At 33.4% G+C, this 14,067-nt stretch overlaps 2 protein-coding genes across 11 annotated transcripts in view; one reads left to right on the forward strand and one right to left on the reverse strand.

Annotated features, from left to right (window-relative positions):
- The window catches only part of ABCB1 (ATP binding cassette subfamily B member 1), a 210,279-nt gene that overhangs the window by 186,199 nt on the left and 10,013 nt on the right, over positions 1 to 14,067 (reverse strand). Inside the window, exon 2 of one of the 3 annotated variants that reach the window (NM_001348945.2) lies at positions 12,426 to 12,443. The exons of the other annotated variants lie outside the window; for them this stretch is intronic. The gene's annotated coding sequence lies outside the window, so the exon portion shown is untranslated. The remainder of the gene's footprint in view (positions 1 to 12,425; positions 12,444 to 14,067) is intronic. 3 annotated transcript variants of the gene reach the window in all.
- The window catches only part of RUNDC3B (RUN domain containing 3B), a 203,899-nt gene that overhangs the window by 60,818 nt on the left and 129,014 nt on the right, over positions 1 to 14,067 (forward strand). For 5 of the 8 annotated variants that reach the window (NM_001394228.1, NM_001134405.2, NM_001394226.1 and 2 more), the window contains exon 3: positions 11,206 to 11,339. In NM_001394228.1, coding sequence (NP_001381157.1) covers positions 11,310 to 11,339 — 30 coding nt within the window. In that variant the 5' untranslated portion in view covers positions 11,206 to 11,309. Of the gene's footprint in view, positions 1 to 4,692; positions 4,744 to 11,205; positions 11,340 to 14,067 lie in introns of all 8 variants that reach the window. The other 3 variants (NM_138290.3, NM_001394224.1, NM_001394227.1) reach the window with 1 other exon arrangement.

Consider the following 14,067-nt stretch of genomic DNA (forward strand, 5'->3'; position numbering starts at 1 on the left):
AAATGTTTTAGTCTACAATTAATCCAATTTCATGTCTAACAGAAATTGATGATCTCTGATGGTAATTCATGTTTATGTTCATTTATCTGTTTATAGCCCTTTGAGTTTCTGTCAGAAAATTAATGAGACATTTCCAGTTTGACCTTGTGATTTTTGCAAATTAGCATAGAGCAATTTGCAGTACTTGTAATGAGCAAGTCATACTTTATTTTTAATCTTGGAAAATTGCTTTCTTTATTATTTTTGCTACATAATTCAACAATTTTGCTTTATTGCGCTAATATTTACTTTATTGTGCTAATATTACTTTAGCTAATATTGCTAAATTACTAATTAGCTAATTATTAATTAGCTAATATTGCTAATATTACTTTATTGTGCTAATCATCTAAAGAAAGTAAATATTTCTCATTTTATAGAAGAGGGGAAAGATTACACAATTTAGTGGACTTTGTTCATTTTAGGAGGGTATCATAATAATAATCCCAGTTCCTACATCTTTCTGATGTTCTAATTTCAATGAGTTGTCCTTTTCAAAATCATTTTATGGTATTGTTACCTCTTTTCCTTAAGGTGAACAATATCGCTGCAAGCTGCTTTGCTAGACGTCTAATGATAAATTCCCATTCTGATGTATTATTTGTTCTAATATGTAGCCTAATTAAGAGTTGACTGAAGTATGTTAGAATTTTGAATGCCAAATGTTTATGTGTGTTTGCACTATATTTTTACTTTAAATCTTTGAATGTTTAAATAGCTGTCATAGATTTTTTTTTAAAAATTTTTAAATTTTTTATAGAGACAGAGTCTCACTGTGTTGCCCAGTCTGATCTCGAACCGCTGAGCTCAAATGATCCTTCTGCTTCCACCTCCTAAAGGGCCGGGAATACAGGTGTAAGCCACTAAGCCTGGGGCTTAGATTTCTTGGTATAAGAACCTGAGATGACCCTGTAGTACAGATATATTTGATATAATTTAAAATATTTTTATTACTCTTATTATCCATAAATTCAAATACTTTAATTTGATGAAGAGTATTTTCATTAATAGTTGTCACTGTTTAGTTGATTGCCATTGTTCATGTGATCTATATTTTTATTTTATTAAACTGTTTTTACATTTTCTTTTCTTTAAAGTTATGACTTTTAAACTTCAAAAGATTTGCACTTGATAAACTTCAAAAGATTAGCACAATTTAGGTACTCAGTATTTTAAAAATTATTTAATCAATGAACAAATACTTTGTTTCTAAGATGTTAATACCTACCACCTACCTGTAAATGGCATTTTAAAGCAGTATTTTTAAAGCTTAAGAAAAGTTATATATAGTACTACATTTTAACTTCAGAACCTGTTAAAAGATGAAAAATGCTGTATAAAAGATAGTCTCATTGTTAGCTGAATTACAGTACTGTAGCATTTTTATCTGTTGCTTCGCTGAAAAATTTTCCTCCTATGTAAATACAAAGTGAAAGATTATAAGCAACTCGCCTTAACAGTATTAGTAATAGAATATGTTCTATATGATACTGCCAATTTATAGACAAGACTTGTGAAAAATCTGAATTATTATCTGATCACTTATAATTAGTTTTATTTGTTTTACAAATGGTAATCCATTTACAGACCATTTTATCTAGGAGTCTTTTCCATATTCCATCTTGGTACATTTATATAAAGGTATCTACCTGCAACTTTATTAGAAAAAAATATATATGCAGAGAGAGAGAGAGAAAATAGAATAAATATAGCAAAAGCTAAAGGTTTACTTTTTGCATAAGTGTTAAAATTCATCGATTATATCAATCACGATAGTGATTCAATGATCAAAGAAATGGAAATGAATAGAAAACAAAGTTGGAACATGGCTGACATGAAAAATATAGAAGAATAAATATCATATTCATGAATTAGAAACATATTCAGTCTTATCAAGGAAAATTTATTTGTTTAAAACAGTGGCCAATAGTCTTTTCTGTGTGAGGGCTAATTTCAATATTAATAAAATTATGAATCAATTATTTGATATTGAAAAGTACATACTTCTTGGGTCAGGAAATGCTGTCTGTCTTCAGTATTCAGTATAGAAGCATTCTTCTATTGCATATCCATCTCTGAGTTGATTCTGCCTTTGCCTGAAATTTCAGAAACTTACTCCTGAAATAACTATATGGTATAATTATACTGTTGTATTTGAATGCATTTTGTTCTTGAGCAAAATGCTTTCTGAACCTGGTTTCTTTGGTATTGTCTCAAGTATTTTTCTAAGCTACATAGTGTTAAATACTGTTTCACTTTCTTTTAACATTATATATTTTATAACAAAAGGTTTTGTTTCCATCTCAAATAAGAACCCCTTCTACAAACAAGCCCTGGGCCACTTTGAAATAATGTGAGCTTTGTCATACGCTTGTTTATTTAAAGAGCAGCACTTCTACTTCCTAAGGATTTACGTTTTATATAAAAAATATTTATATTCCTTCCCATTACATGTTTCACTACCTCATGTTTTTCCCCCTTCTTTCTGGGGTTGTCAGTGAGAACTCTAACCAACCAGGAAATACAACTGACTAATTATCCTCCATCAGTCAGGTCCTGCCTATCTCCTAAGGAGTAGGTCAGCTTGAAGTGACAGAGAAAACCGATTGCTGGGTCTTGGCAGCCTTGTCTCTGGGCCTACCTTTTCTCATCTGTAAAATGAGAGTTGTTGAAATTTGACTACATTAGATAACTTGGAATATAGTGGATTGTTGTTTGGTCCAGATATTTCTGGTTGCTTTTAACTTGTCTAGAATGGTTTAATCGTATTAAATTATAATTAAAGCAATTACATCCTACAAATAAGTGAAAAATTTAAGAAAATTTTCCCATGGTCTTTCACAGCCAAAATGAAAATCAGGGCACAGAGGCTAGCATACTAACAGCTTTTTAAAAAAATAACCAACATTATCTAGGCCAGGCATGGTGGCTCACAACTGTAATCCCAATGCTTTGGGAGACCACGGCAGGATAATCCATTGAGCCCAGGAGTTTGAGACCAGCCTGAGCAACATAGCAAGATCTGGTCTCTACAAAAAAAACACATAAAAACATTAGTTGAGCCTGGTGGCACGCACCTGTAGTCTTAGCTACTCACAAGGCGAAGGCAGGAGGATCGCTTGAGTCCAAGAATTTGAGGTTGCAGCGAGCTATGAATGCATCACTGAGCTCCAGCCAGGGTGACAAAGTGAGAACCTGTCTCTTAAACAATCAAACACAAAAACCCTATAAATTGAGTTTTGTGATATTTTCAGTAATTGTTTCCCACCTTATATAAGGGGTTGGTTAAGAAGTGCCATAAATCTGGTCATGATATGCTTATTTGGTACATTTTTGTAGTAAAATTTCTTTAAGTCAGATTTTCATGGAAATTGTTTTTACTTTGATAAGTTTTTAGATCTATAAATCACAAATAATATAGAGAACTTTGTTTTAGGACAGAGATAGTAAATGTGGTTTAAATATTAGGAATTAATGTTATTTGCAATGAAAAGCATTCTATTCTGATTTACATTCAATGTTGAGAAATTTCATTTTTGTTTGTTGTAGTTATAGCAAGAACATTATGTTCTAATATGAGCTTTAACTGTCGTACCAAGTTATAGATCCTTTTGGATATGTTTTTCCAAATTTAATATTTGTTTAAAATGTTATGGAAGTAAGAGGATAGAGTGAATGGCAGATGTGTAGATGTGGCACAGCTGTATGTATCTCCTTCCTTTCATTTTTCATGTCACATTACTAGCTCTATGTGTTTGTCTTTTATTGGTTTTATAAAGGATCTAAGTGTTTGGAAAGGTGTGGGACCATGTACTATTGGAGATTTCAGTGTTTGACTATGAGAGAAGGAAATGTTATTTTTTGGGAATGTTATTTCAGAAATTTGGCTTTGGAGTTTTCCCATATTGTTATACTAGCAATTTCTGAAAAATATAGCAGAAATTTCTAGTACTTTTTCAGTTGGTGATTGTTAAATAAGAGTTAGAAGCTGTAACAAATAAAACAGTGTTTTTGATAGAGTAGGCATTTAGTCAACATTGGTTAAACTGACCAACATTTTATATAATATCTAAGTGCTGCTCTCTACAGGGAAGAAAACATAAAAGTTTTAACAATTCTTAGGCAAAAAATGAATGGCTACATTTCAAAATATATTTGTTTATAACTTTTAGAAAAGTTAACATTTAAAAATGTGTATTTATTTTTAAACTTGGAAATTTTCTGAGCCATATAGTTCCAAAGTGAGTGATTTTTTTTCCTAACCAATCTTATAAGTTCTGAGGTGCATCGCCAGCAAGTTCAGTCAAGCTGTTGCTCTTCTTTGAGGTCTATTCTACTCATCAGTTTATTACATCTGAGAAAGAATGATGGAGGTAAAAGTAAACAGGAAACAATTTCTGCTCACATATTTTTGACTTACAGACACCTTAGCCTCTCCAATACAATAAGCTACAAGGAACTAGCTTCATTTACTTACCAAGTGTAGCTCATATTTATCTTAACAGAGTTCATTTATTTAGTAGGTAAAAGTAGTGTTTACTGCTTCAAAATTATATGTAGCCATCTTAGTTGGGCTATTCAGTTTGGAACTGTAAACATGATGGCAGGTTTCTTAAATATCTGTGTGTTGTTGTTGTTATTTTTTTTTTAAAGAGATTTCCCAAAGTTGCAGATGGCTGGCTCATCTCCAAATACCTCTTCAAGGTACTCTATGCTGGTGATGTCTCCCGCCACTGAGCTGCACGGGAGCATGGAATTGACTTTCGGGGGAGGGCTGTATCAGTTAAGTGATCTTTTTTAGTACATTGCATGGGTTTTGTAAAGCCTTCTTTTTTGTGTGTTTTTGTTTTTTTTTTTTAATCCAGAGAGCACAAGTATGCTTATGCTAATTTTAAAATTAAAATCTTGTAAATCCACACAATATAATAACCTATTTACTTTTTAAGTGCTGTATAATAATAAATATTACGTGTGAAGTAGCAGCTCAGGGAAGCTGTATGAATATTCCAGTCTCAGTAAAACATAGATGTGGCACCATAAACAATAACTGCTTTTTCATTCTTGAACCATTAGTGGGAATGTACTTCTTAGTTTCCTTTCTCCCAGGTAGAATGCATGCCTTTATTTACTTATTCAAACCTTTTCTTTAATTGAGTTTCTGCTATATGCAAAACACTGCTGGACCTTTGTACTTAATGATCTAGCTTTCTGTATTTTTTGCTTAGAAAAGCAATATAGTCATTATTTTTAAATAGTAGAACGAAAGAGAAAAAGTAAAAAACAAATGTCATTTCCTTAATTCTAATTCCCACAATTAATCCTTTCAAGCAATTTTATCTGTTTTATGTTCTGTACCTATAGTCTTAATCACTACTGACACACATTATACTTGATTTCTTCAGGAGTACGCATTTATGTGTAGCTCTCTGTGTGGACTTCAGCCGTCATGTACGATTTCATTCCACCAGTACTTTAAGCCTTATGTTAATAATGCTGGTGGAAGGGAAAAAACAAAACGTTTGTTCTCCATTTCAGAGAGAGTAAAATTACTGGGATAAAAAAGCCTATTAAATTGATTCAATATTCAGATTTTTGCTGAACCTGTTCATCTTAATCTTTTTGTTTTGGAAAATTAAGAGTTGACTAATTGTTATGGCATAGACACATACTTTAGATATTTGTATATGTTTGTGATAAATTCCTTACTAGTGAACTAGACATTACATTGTCAATACCAAAGGATAATAGTTACATTTTATAGATGAGTAACTGATTCTTAGTGCCTAAATGATATACTTGAAGTGTCCTGTAAGTAGCATGTAGAACTAGCAATGTAAGTACAATTGAGTATCTAATGTAGATTCTGACTTCCTCAGATTCAATTTAAAGTGTAACTAATTATTTTTAAGTGTTTATACTTGTTCTATTTTTTAGAACATTAATTTGGGATTTTAGTTAGAAAATGGATCAGTGTCATAATTTTACCTTCAAAGCTGGATGGTCTAATAAATATAAACCTCAACTAATAATAGTACCTTTTTAAAGGAAAAGTTTCTGAACTTTTACAGAAATGGAAATTTTCTCTGTTTGATAAAATAGTGGATAATATTAAACTGGCTTTTATAAATTAGCAGTAAGAAACTTGGGATTGCTGCTACAAAGTTTAAAGTGAGAACTCCACAAGTTTTTTAAAGGAACCAATTTTCTTTAAGTATCTGAAAGCTTTTGCAGTGACATCAGAGTGGTTTATTAAAATGTGGTAGGATTATCTTGTCTTTTGTTGATTGTCTAGATGAATAATAGCTCAAAGGTAATAGTCTTTAATATTGTCAAGTAGGTGATATATTTTAACTAACAGAACTTTCATTTGTGAAATCAGTTTATCATTCACTTTTTACATAGCTAAGCACTATTACTAAAGATGGGGAATTAAGTCACTTAACAGATTCATTTATATTTTTCTTGTATTATGAAAAGATCTTGTGTCAGCTACTGCTTAGTAGAGAACCACTTTAGAAAAATTAATTTCTGTTCTTAGAAGGTCTTATTCTGGCCATGAAATAAGATACAAACAAAACACAGACATATTGCAAAGTGTAAATAGATATCTCACTTAAAGAGTATAGAAGAGTAATTTTAGAGTAACATTGGACCCTAGAGATCACAGGCAATTTTTAGGTCCTAAAGATGAGGCAATTTAGTTGGAAAGATAATCACATAGCTGGTCAGTAACAGATTGTCTTTTAGTCTAGCAAACTTTTCACCATTTGTTTCTGTGCCTAAAGATGAAGAGAGTTGGATTGATGGGATGGGAATATGTTTTTAAAAGCTTGTTTAACATTGGGAAAATGTTAACTTCCAAGAATACTTATAATTGAAAGCATATTGTATACCTATATTCATTGAGAACTTTAAAAAGGGAATTCTGTTAATGACAGCATATCTCATCTTTGGAATAACATTTCTTCAAGATATAGAGTAGTCAGTTTCTTGCTATATGATTGTCTTTTGTGGTTATTTTTAAAGGAAGTCAAAGTATTTGAGGAGTGGTTATTTATTACTTCAATATTTATTTTTAAAGGCATGAGTAGCTTGTAACTTTGTTTTTAAATTTTCCTGTTAAATACAGGTTATAGACTTTTACTAGCAGTTAATCTGTATTTACATAAAAGTGATGTTCAAATAATATCGCAGATAACTCATTGAACACATCTATTATATTGAACTAAATTAAACCTTTCTGTAGATGCAGAAATTAATTATTTAGATGAAATCCTAGGATATACAGGCAATTTACATGAAAGCTTGTTTGGAGGTTCTAGCAAGAGAATCTACCTTCTCTTGAAGAATATCTTTCTGAATGTGAAAAATTCAGTGTCTTGAATTAAGAGCTTCACTTTGGAAGTGATGCACATGGAAAAGGAAGGAAGCCAGAATCAAGCCAAGTCATCCTCACATCTAATTTGTAGAGCAGATAAATGTGTTATGAAGATCTTGGTGGTTGATTTATGGCCCTGAAAGTCATGATGATATGCCGTCCTGTCAATTGCTTAGTTTCTCAGTTTGTAATCTGGGAAATCTTTTCATTATCTTTTGGGTAAAAGTCCTTGTGGATAGTGTGCCCTACCTATAGCAGGAGTTCCAAGGATTTAGTGCCCACCCTTCTCTGCTTAACCTAACTCTAGTTTTCTAGTTTTTCTGTCTCTGTTTTCTCTCCTCCAAAACAGGGCTTTTTAAATACTCTTTGGTTTTCAACAGCTCTACTTTGAAACATCCTACAAGTTATTTTCTTCAGCCACCTGAAACTAAAGAGAAGATTTAAAATAACATTACAGAAAAGCAAACCATGTCCTATGCCAAAGTCCTGGACCCTTGTACATTTCCTTAAAACGGAAAATCTTCTTGTTCATGGACAACCTATGCTTTATCTTTCTCTGTGGTTACCTATTTGGATTACCACTATAGGTGGTTGCCATTGGCTAATACAATGTTGTATTTTCCCTTGCCTATTTCTCTGACTTCTGTTTCCCATATTGTCTTTTTAGAGAGACTTAAACTCACCACAGAATCTTGGTGATACTCTTTCCTTAAGATTCTTTCCAGTGTGTAGTACTTCATTTCTTGAGGGAAGTCTGGCAGCTGTAGCTCTCATTTTGAAATTATAGAATGATCCCAGATAATAGAAGTCAAGGAAAATGAGTTGAAGTTAGAAACATTTGAGGAAGTAACTTTAGAATGGTTGATGATGGGAGTAAAGTTGGATTAGGGAGTAAGTTTGGAAGATTTCTCTAGATTCCAAAGCAAGTAATGTGAAGAATTTAACTTTGCATCTCATTCCTACTTCATTTTGTGATGCAAGGAGAGCTTGGTCCCTGTAACTGCTTGTATGATTACAGTAATAACAGTAGTAATAATTAACACTTATTTTGAATTTAGTATGCACTAGACTCTTTGCTACTTGCTGCACATACATGATCACATCTAATCCTTACAACAGTACTATCCAGTAGGTACTATCGTTATTTTCAATTTACAGAAGAGGCCCAGACTCATAAAGTGAACCTAAGTCATTTTTTCAAGATCCCATAGCTAGAAAGTGATCTAGTTCAGGTCCACCGGACTCAAAGCCCATGTTCTTAACCACCAGTCACCCTGCTTCCCCTCCAAACGGCTAACAAATTGATGACATGAAAAGTGCCCTAGAGACAAACTATATTGAGGCATTATATCAGGAAATTTTTAGTTAAAAGAAGAGAGGGAGCAGAAGAAAGTGATGGAGAGAGATTAAGAGGGAGAAGTCTGTAGATTTCTATTTGTAAGTAGCAAAATTTTATTTTATTTTTAATTTTTTATTGCTTTTTTTGAGACGAAGTCTCACTCTGTCACCCAGGCTGGAGTGCAGTGGCACGATCTCGGCTCACTGCAAGCTCCACCTCCCGGGTTCACGCCATTCTCCTGCCTCAGCCTCCCGAGTAGCTGGGACTACAGGTGCCTGCCACCATGCCCGGCTAATTTCTTTGCACTTTTAGTAGAGAGGGGGTTTCACCGTGTTAGCCAGGATGGTCTCCTGACCACATGATCCTCCCACCTCGGCCTCCCAAAGTGCTGGGATTACAGGCGTGAGCCACCGCACCGGCTGCAAAATTTTATTTTTAAAGAGACATTGAATTATATAGTTATTAGAATAAAGATTTATAGATGCATTTGTTTTTATTTATATAAAGAAAAATATATTTGTGCAAAATATTTGATGTTTGTAATCTATCATGCAAACACTAGCAGACTGTTATCAAAACTATTGCTATAAAAAGATAATTGGATTTTTTTAAATTTAAGTTTTTGTGTTCATTGCATTTAAGATTATCTGTGTTGTGCTGATTTATAAATTTAATTTTTCAACAAATATTTATTGAGTGCCTACTGTGAGCCAAGTAAGCACTGTGTCAAGTGTTAGAGATTGATCTAAAATAAGACAAAATTCCTGCCTTAGTGATCTTACCGCCTAATATGTGAAATAATCAAGTAAAGAAATACTTTTGAGGAGAAGTAAGCACAGGGTCCTGTGCCAACAGAGGGACTAGCTGTTGGGATCATACATGGGTTTCTGGAAGAGGCCTTTAAAACACCCTGAATAATGAATAGAAGTTACCTATCATGACTTGTAGGATTTCTGTTGGTTGATTAATAATAAGTACATCACTAGAAATACTAGGGGGCGATTTTTAAAAATTCAAATGCTTACATCTTCCCCTAAAGATTTTGATTATTCAGTTTGTGGGGAGGCTAGACATGAGTATTTTTTAAAAGCAGTCAAGTTACACTAATGTTCTGCCATGGTTTGGAACCACTCAGATATTATCTCAGACATTGGTCCTAAAATGGTGCTTGCTGACAAGAACACTTCTTGATGTTGCTGTAGAGAAGTAATTACTGAGGAAGGGAGGATTTAAAGTAAATAATTAAATCATGATGAAAAAAGCACTTATTTCAAAATATGAAAGCAAATCTTTCTACAAGAAGATTAAACAACTTTCCTAGGGAAGACTAGTCATACTAGACAACTAAAGAAAGTATTAAGATGTCTCTCATATTCCACTTAAAAATACTGAGTGTAGAAAATGTTTCCTGTGAGACTAATATTCAGAGTCCTGTATAGAATTCTTTTTTTTTACAGAGTCCTGCTCTGTCACTCAGGCTGGGGTGCAGTGGCTCAACCTCAGCTCACTGCAACCTTCACCTCTTGTGTTCAAGTGATCCTCCTGCCTCAGCCTCTCTCAAGTAGCTGGGATTATGGGCATACACCACCATGCCCAGCTAGTTTTTGTATTTTTAGTAGAGATGAGGTTTCACCATGTTGGCCAGGCTGGCCTCGAACTCCTGGCCTCAGGTGATCCACCCACCTTGGCCTTCCAAAGTGCTGAGATTACAAGCATGAGCTACCATGCCCAACCATAGAAATATTAATACTAATATAACCTATGCACAATAGAACATTTGGTCATGAACGGATACATAGTTAGCCAAATCTGAAAGATTACAAGTTTTTCATGAGTTCTTAACTGGAAGAGAGCAAACAAATGACAGTTAAAGGGGAGCTTTATAGATGAGAATGGTTGGGTAGGTGGTTATGCATTATTAGTGAATATAGGATGCTAATTGATTTTATTTATTTATAAAGTAAACAACACATTGTATACCTTTTTTGAAGTATCCTTATGAAGAGGAGAAAAGAATTATGGTGGTGGGGTTTTTTTTTCTGTTTTTTTAAATAGAGAAAGGTTTAGAATTCAATTGGTGACATTTATTAATGCTTAACTAGAAGCGCAGGAAGGTTCCCGTGTGCTATTTAAGCGACTGTATTAGACAAATAGGATGTTAAATGGCAAGATATTTCTAGTGTCTAGTCCCTTTCATTTAGTTTGATTTTATTGTTAAGACTATGATCCAGACTCATTAAGTAAATTAAGTAAATTTTCCAAACTAACACCACTAGTTAAAGATAGAATAGGACTAGATTTGAGGCTTTTTGACACCTAGATTGGTGGTGCCCTTGCCATTATAGTTCACTATATTACCTTTATTTTTCAGAATTTTATTGTTCTTGCATTTTCAAGTCTAGTTTTATTTTACTTTTTAAAATTTTATATCGCAATTTGTCTCCTGAAGGTCAAGTAACCTGGTTTGGTTATGAAAGTCCTCGTAGCTTCTGGGACTATATCAGAGTGGCTTGCCGGAAAGTTTCACAGAATTGTATCTGCAGCATTGAAAATATGGAAAATGTCAGTTCTTCTAGAGCTAAGGTAAGACATTGGTCAGAGACTCGTTTCTATTTTTTTTTTCATTGCATGTATTTGGAATAGCAGGAAGGTGTGAAGCTACTTACTATGAATTTCCTTTTCTTAAGAAGCATAATAAAATACGTCCTGTTCTGTGATGTTTCTACATTTCTTGAATTATCTAAACTAGTGGCTCTCAAATAATGTTCAGCAGAACCCTGAAGATGTCCAAGACCCTTTCTTTAATGGGTACAAAATGTCAAAAATATTTTTATATAATATCAACCTGTTATTTGCCTTTTCGCTGTGTTGATATTTGCACTGCCAATGCAGACACAATGGTGGATAAAACTGTTGGAACCTTAGCACGAATTAATGCAGTGACATCAAACTGTGCAAGCAGTCTTGAGTTCTTCCCCACCATGCACTCAGTATTTTCTTTTAAAGGCAGTTTCAACTTAAGAATGACCATGATGGTGCGGGAAACATTAATTCTTATTAAATCTCAACTTTGAGGATCTGTCTTTTTAATATCCTGAGTAATAAAATGGGAAGTATGCATAAAGCATTTCTGCAGCATACTGAAATATGATGGTTGCTTCAAGAAAAACACTTGTACAATTCTTTGAATTGTGAGCTGAACTAGATACTTTTTAATGTAATATGATTTTACTGAAAAGAAAAACTTATAAACATAATTTTTTGGACTTAGGCATTTGACAGATATTTTCTCAAAAAAAGAAGAAAGAAGTGAGCCTATTACTTCAAGGAAACAGCTGACAGTATTTGTTGCCAATGGTGAAATTAAAGCTTTTAAGTAAAAACTAGAATTTTAGAAACTTGTGTTCACCATCTTAAGCTTCATAGCTTCCCAATATAGAAAAGCTTTTTTAAAACATTGATGTTGATATCAACAAATGTATTTTTAAATTATTTAATGAAATGTGTCAACATTTGATGGAACTGCATAACTTGTATTTTCCAAATGATCAGTTCGTGGAATTACAAAATCATGTATGGGTAAAAAGATCAATTCAAAGTGCAAGGTAGGTCAGTAGATTTAATGTACTATAGTATGAAAAAGTCATTAATATGATTACAGAAACTTACCATTTAGTGAGTTTTGATCTAGAACAAAAGAAAATATCTACACTTATCTGAAAAGACTATTAAAAGATTCCCTTTCCAACCATATATCTGTGTGAAGCTAGATTTTCTTCATATACTTCAACCAAAACAACACATTGTTACAGATGGAATGCAGAAGCAGATATCTAATTATCTTGTAAAGACACTAAAGAGATTAGAAAAAAATGTAAAACAGAGATACTGGCCGGGCGCGGTGGCTCACGCCTGTAATCCCAGCACTTTGGGAGGCCGAGGCAGGCGGATCACGAGGTCAGGAGATCGAGACCATCCTGGCTAACATGGTGAAACCCCGTCTCTACTGAAAATATAAAAAATTAGCCAGGCGTGGTGGTGGGCACCTGTAATCCCAGCTACTTGGGAGGCTGAGGCAGGAGAATGGCGTGAACCCAGGAGGCGGAGCTTGCAGTGAGCAGAGATCGCGCCACTGCACTCCAGCCTGGGCAAAAGAGCGAGACTCTGTCTCAAAAAAAAAAAAAAAAAAAAAAAAAAAAAACAGAGATACTTTTCTCACTAATTTTTTTTTAGGAAAAATAGTTATTTTTCATAAAAATGTGTTATTTATGTTAACAGGTAATGGGTTTATTGTTTTATTTTATTTTATTTTATTTTATTTTTTAGGGACAGGGTCTTGCTCTGTTGCCCAGGTTGGAGTACAGTGGTACTATCATAGCCCACTGCAGGCTAGAACCCCTAGGCTCAAGTGATCCTCCAACCTCAGCTTCCTGAGTAGCTGGGACTACAGGGGCATGCCACCATGCCTGGCAAATGTTTTAAATTTTTTGTAGAGATAATATCTCTCTTTGTTGCCCAGGCTAGTCTAGAAATCCTGGCTTCGAGCAGTCTTTCTGCTGCAGCCTCCCGAAGTGCTGGATTACAGGCGTTGAGTCACCATGACCAACTCATTATTTTTGAATTACCTAATATTTAAGTTTCCAGTTTTGACTTGTGATACAGTAAATTTGGTAGATATAGCCTACATAAAACTTCCTTGGGGTCCTCAGTAATTTTTAGGATTATAAAATGTCTGAACTATTAAGTCAAATGGATCGAACATCCCAAAACTGAAAATGTGAAATCTCAAATGATCTCAAAACTAAAACTTTTTGAGCATCACCATGATGTTCAAAGAAAATGCTAAATGGACCATTTAATGCAAATATTCCAAAATCAGAAAATACTCAAAATCTGAAATACTCTTGTCCCAAGCATTTTGGAAAAGGTATACTCAACAGAAGGTTGAGTATACCTAACTAACTCAACTAACTCACTCAACTCAGGTATCAAATAACTAACTCAACTCAGGTATCAGCTTTAATGTAGTAGTTGTATTTATTTTTATTGAATTGTCAGAGTAGCTTTATTATTTTGACATTTAGAAATTACAGAATGAAACATTAAGTAGAAAATAAAGATTGAAAATTGATATTTACAGTTTTAAGATGAAGACATAATTCATTATTTCACGATTATAGAATTATAAATTATGTGTCTATGTAATAACCGAAAGTATAACAATTATCTTTCCAAATTATAATTTCCAAGTTTTTTGTTCTTGCATCCTTTTTATTTAGGATTTTTTTTTTCTTTTGGAAAATTTTTGTTC

Source organism: Homo sapiens, chromosome 7 (assembly GCF_000001405.40).
Source record: "Homo sapiens chromosome 7, GRCh38.p14 Primary Assembly".
Lineage (NCBI taxonomy): Eukaryota > Metazoa > Chordata > Mammalia > Primates > Hominidae > Homo > Homo sapiens.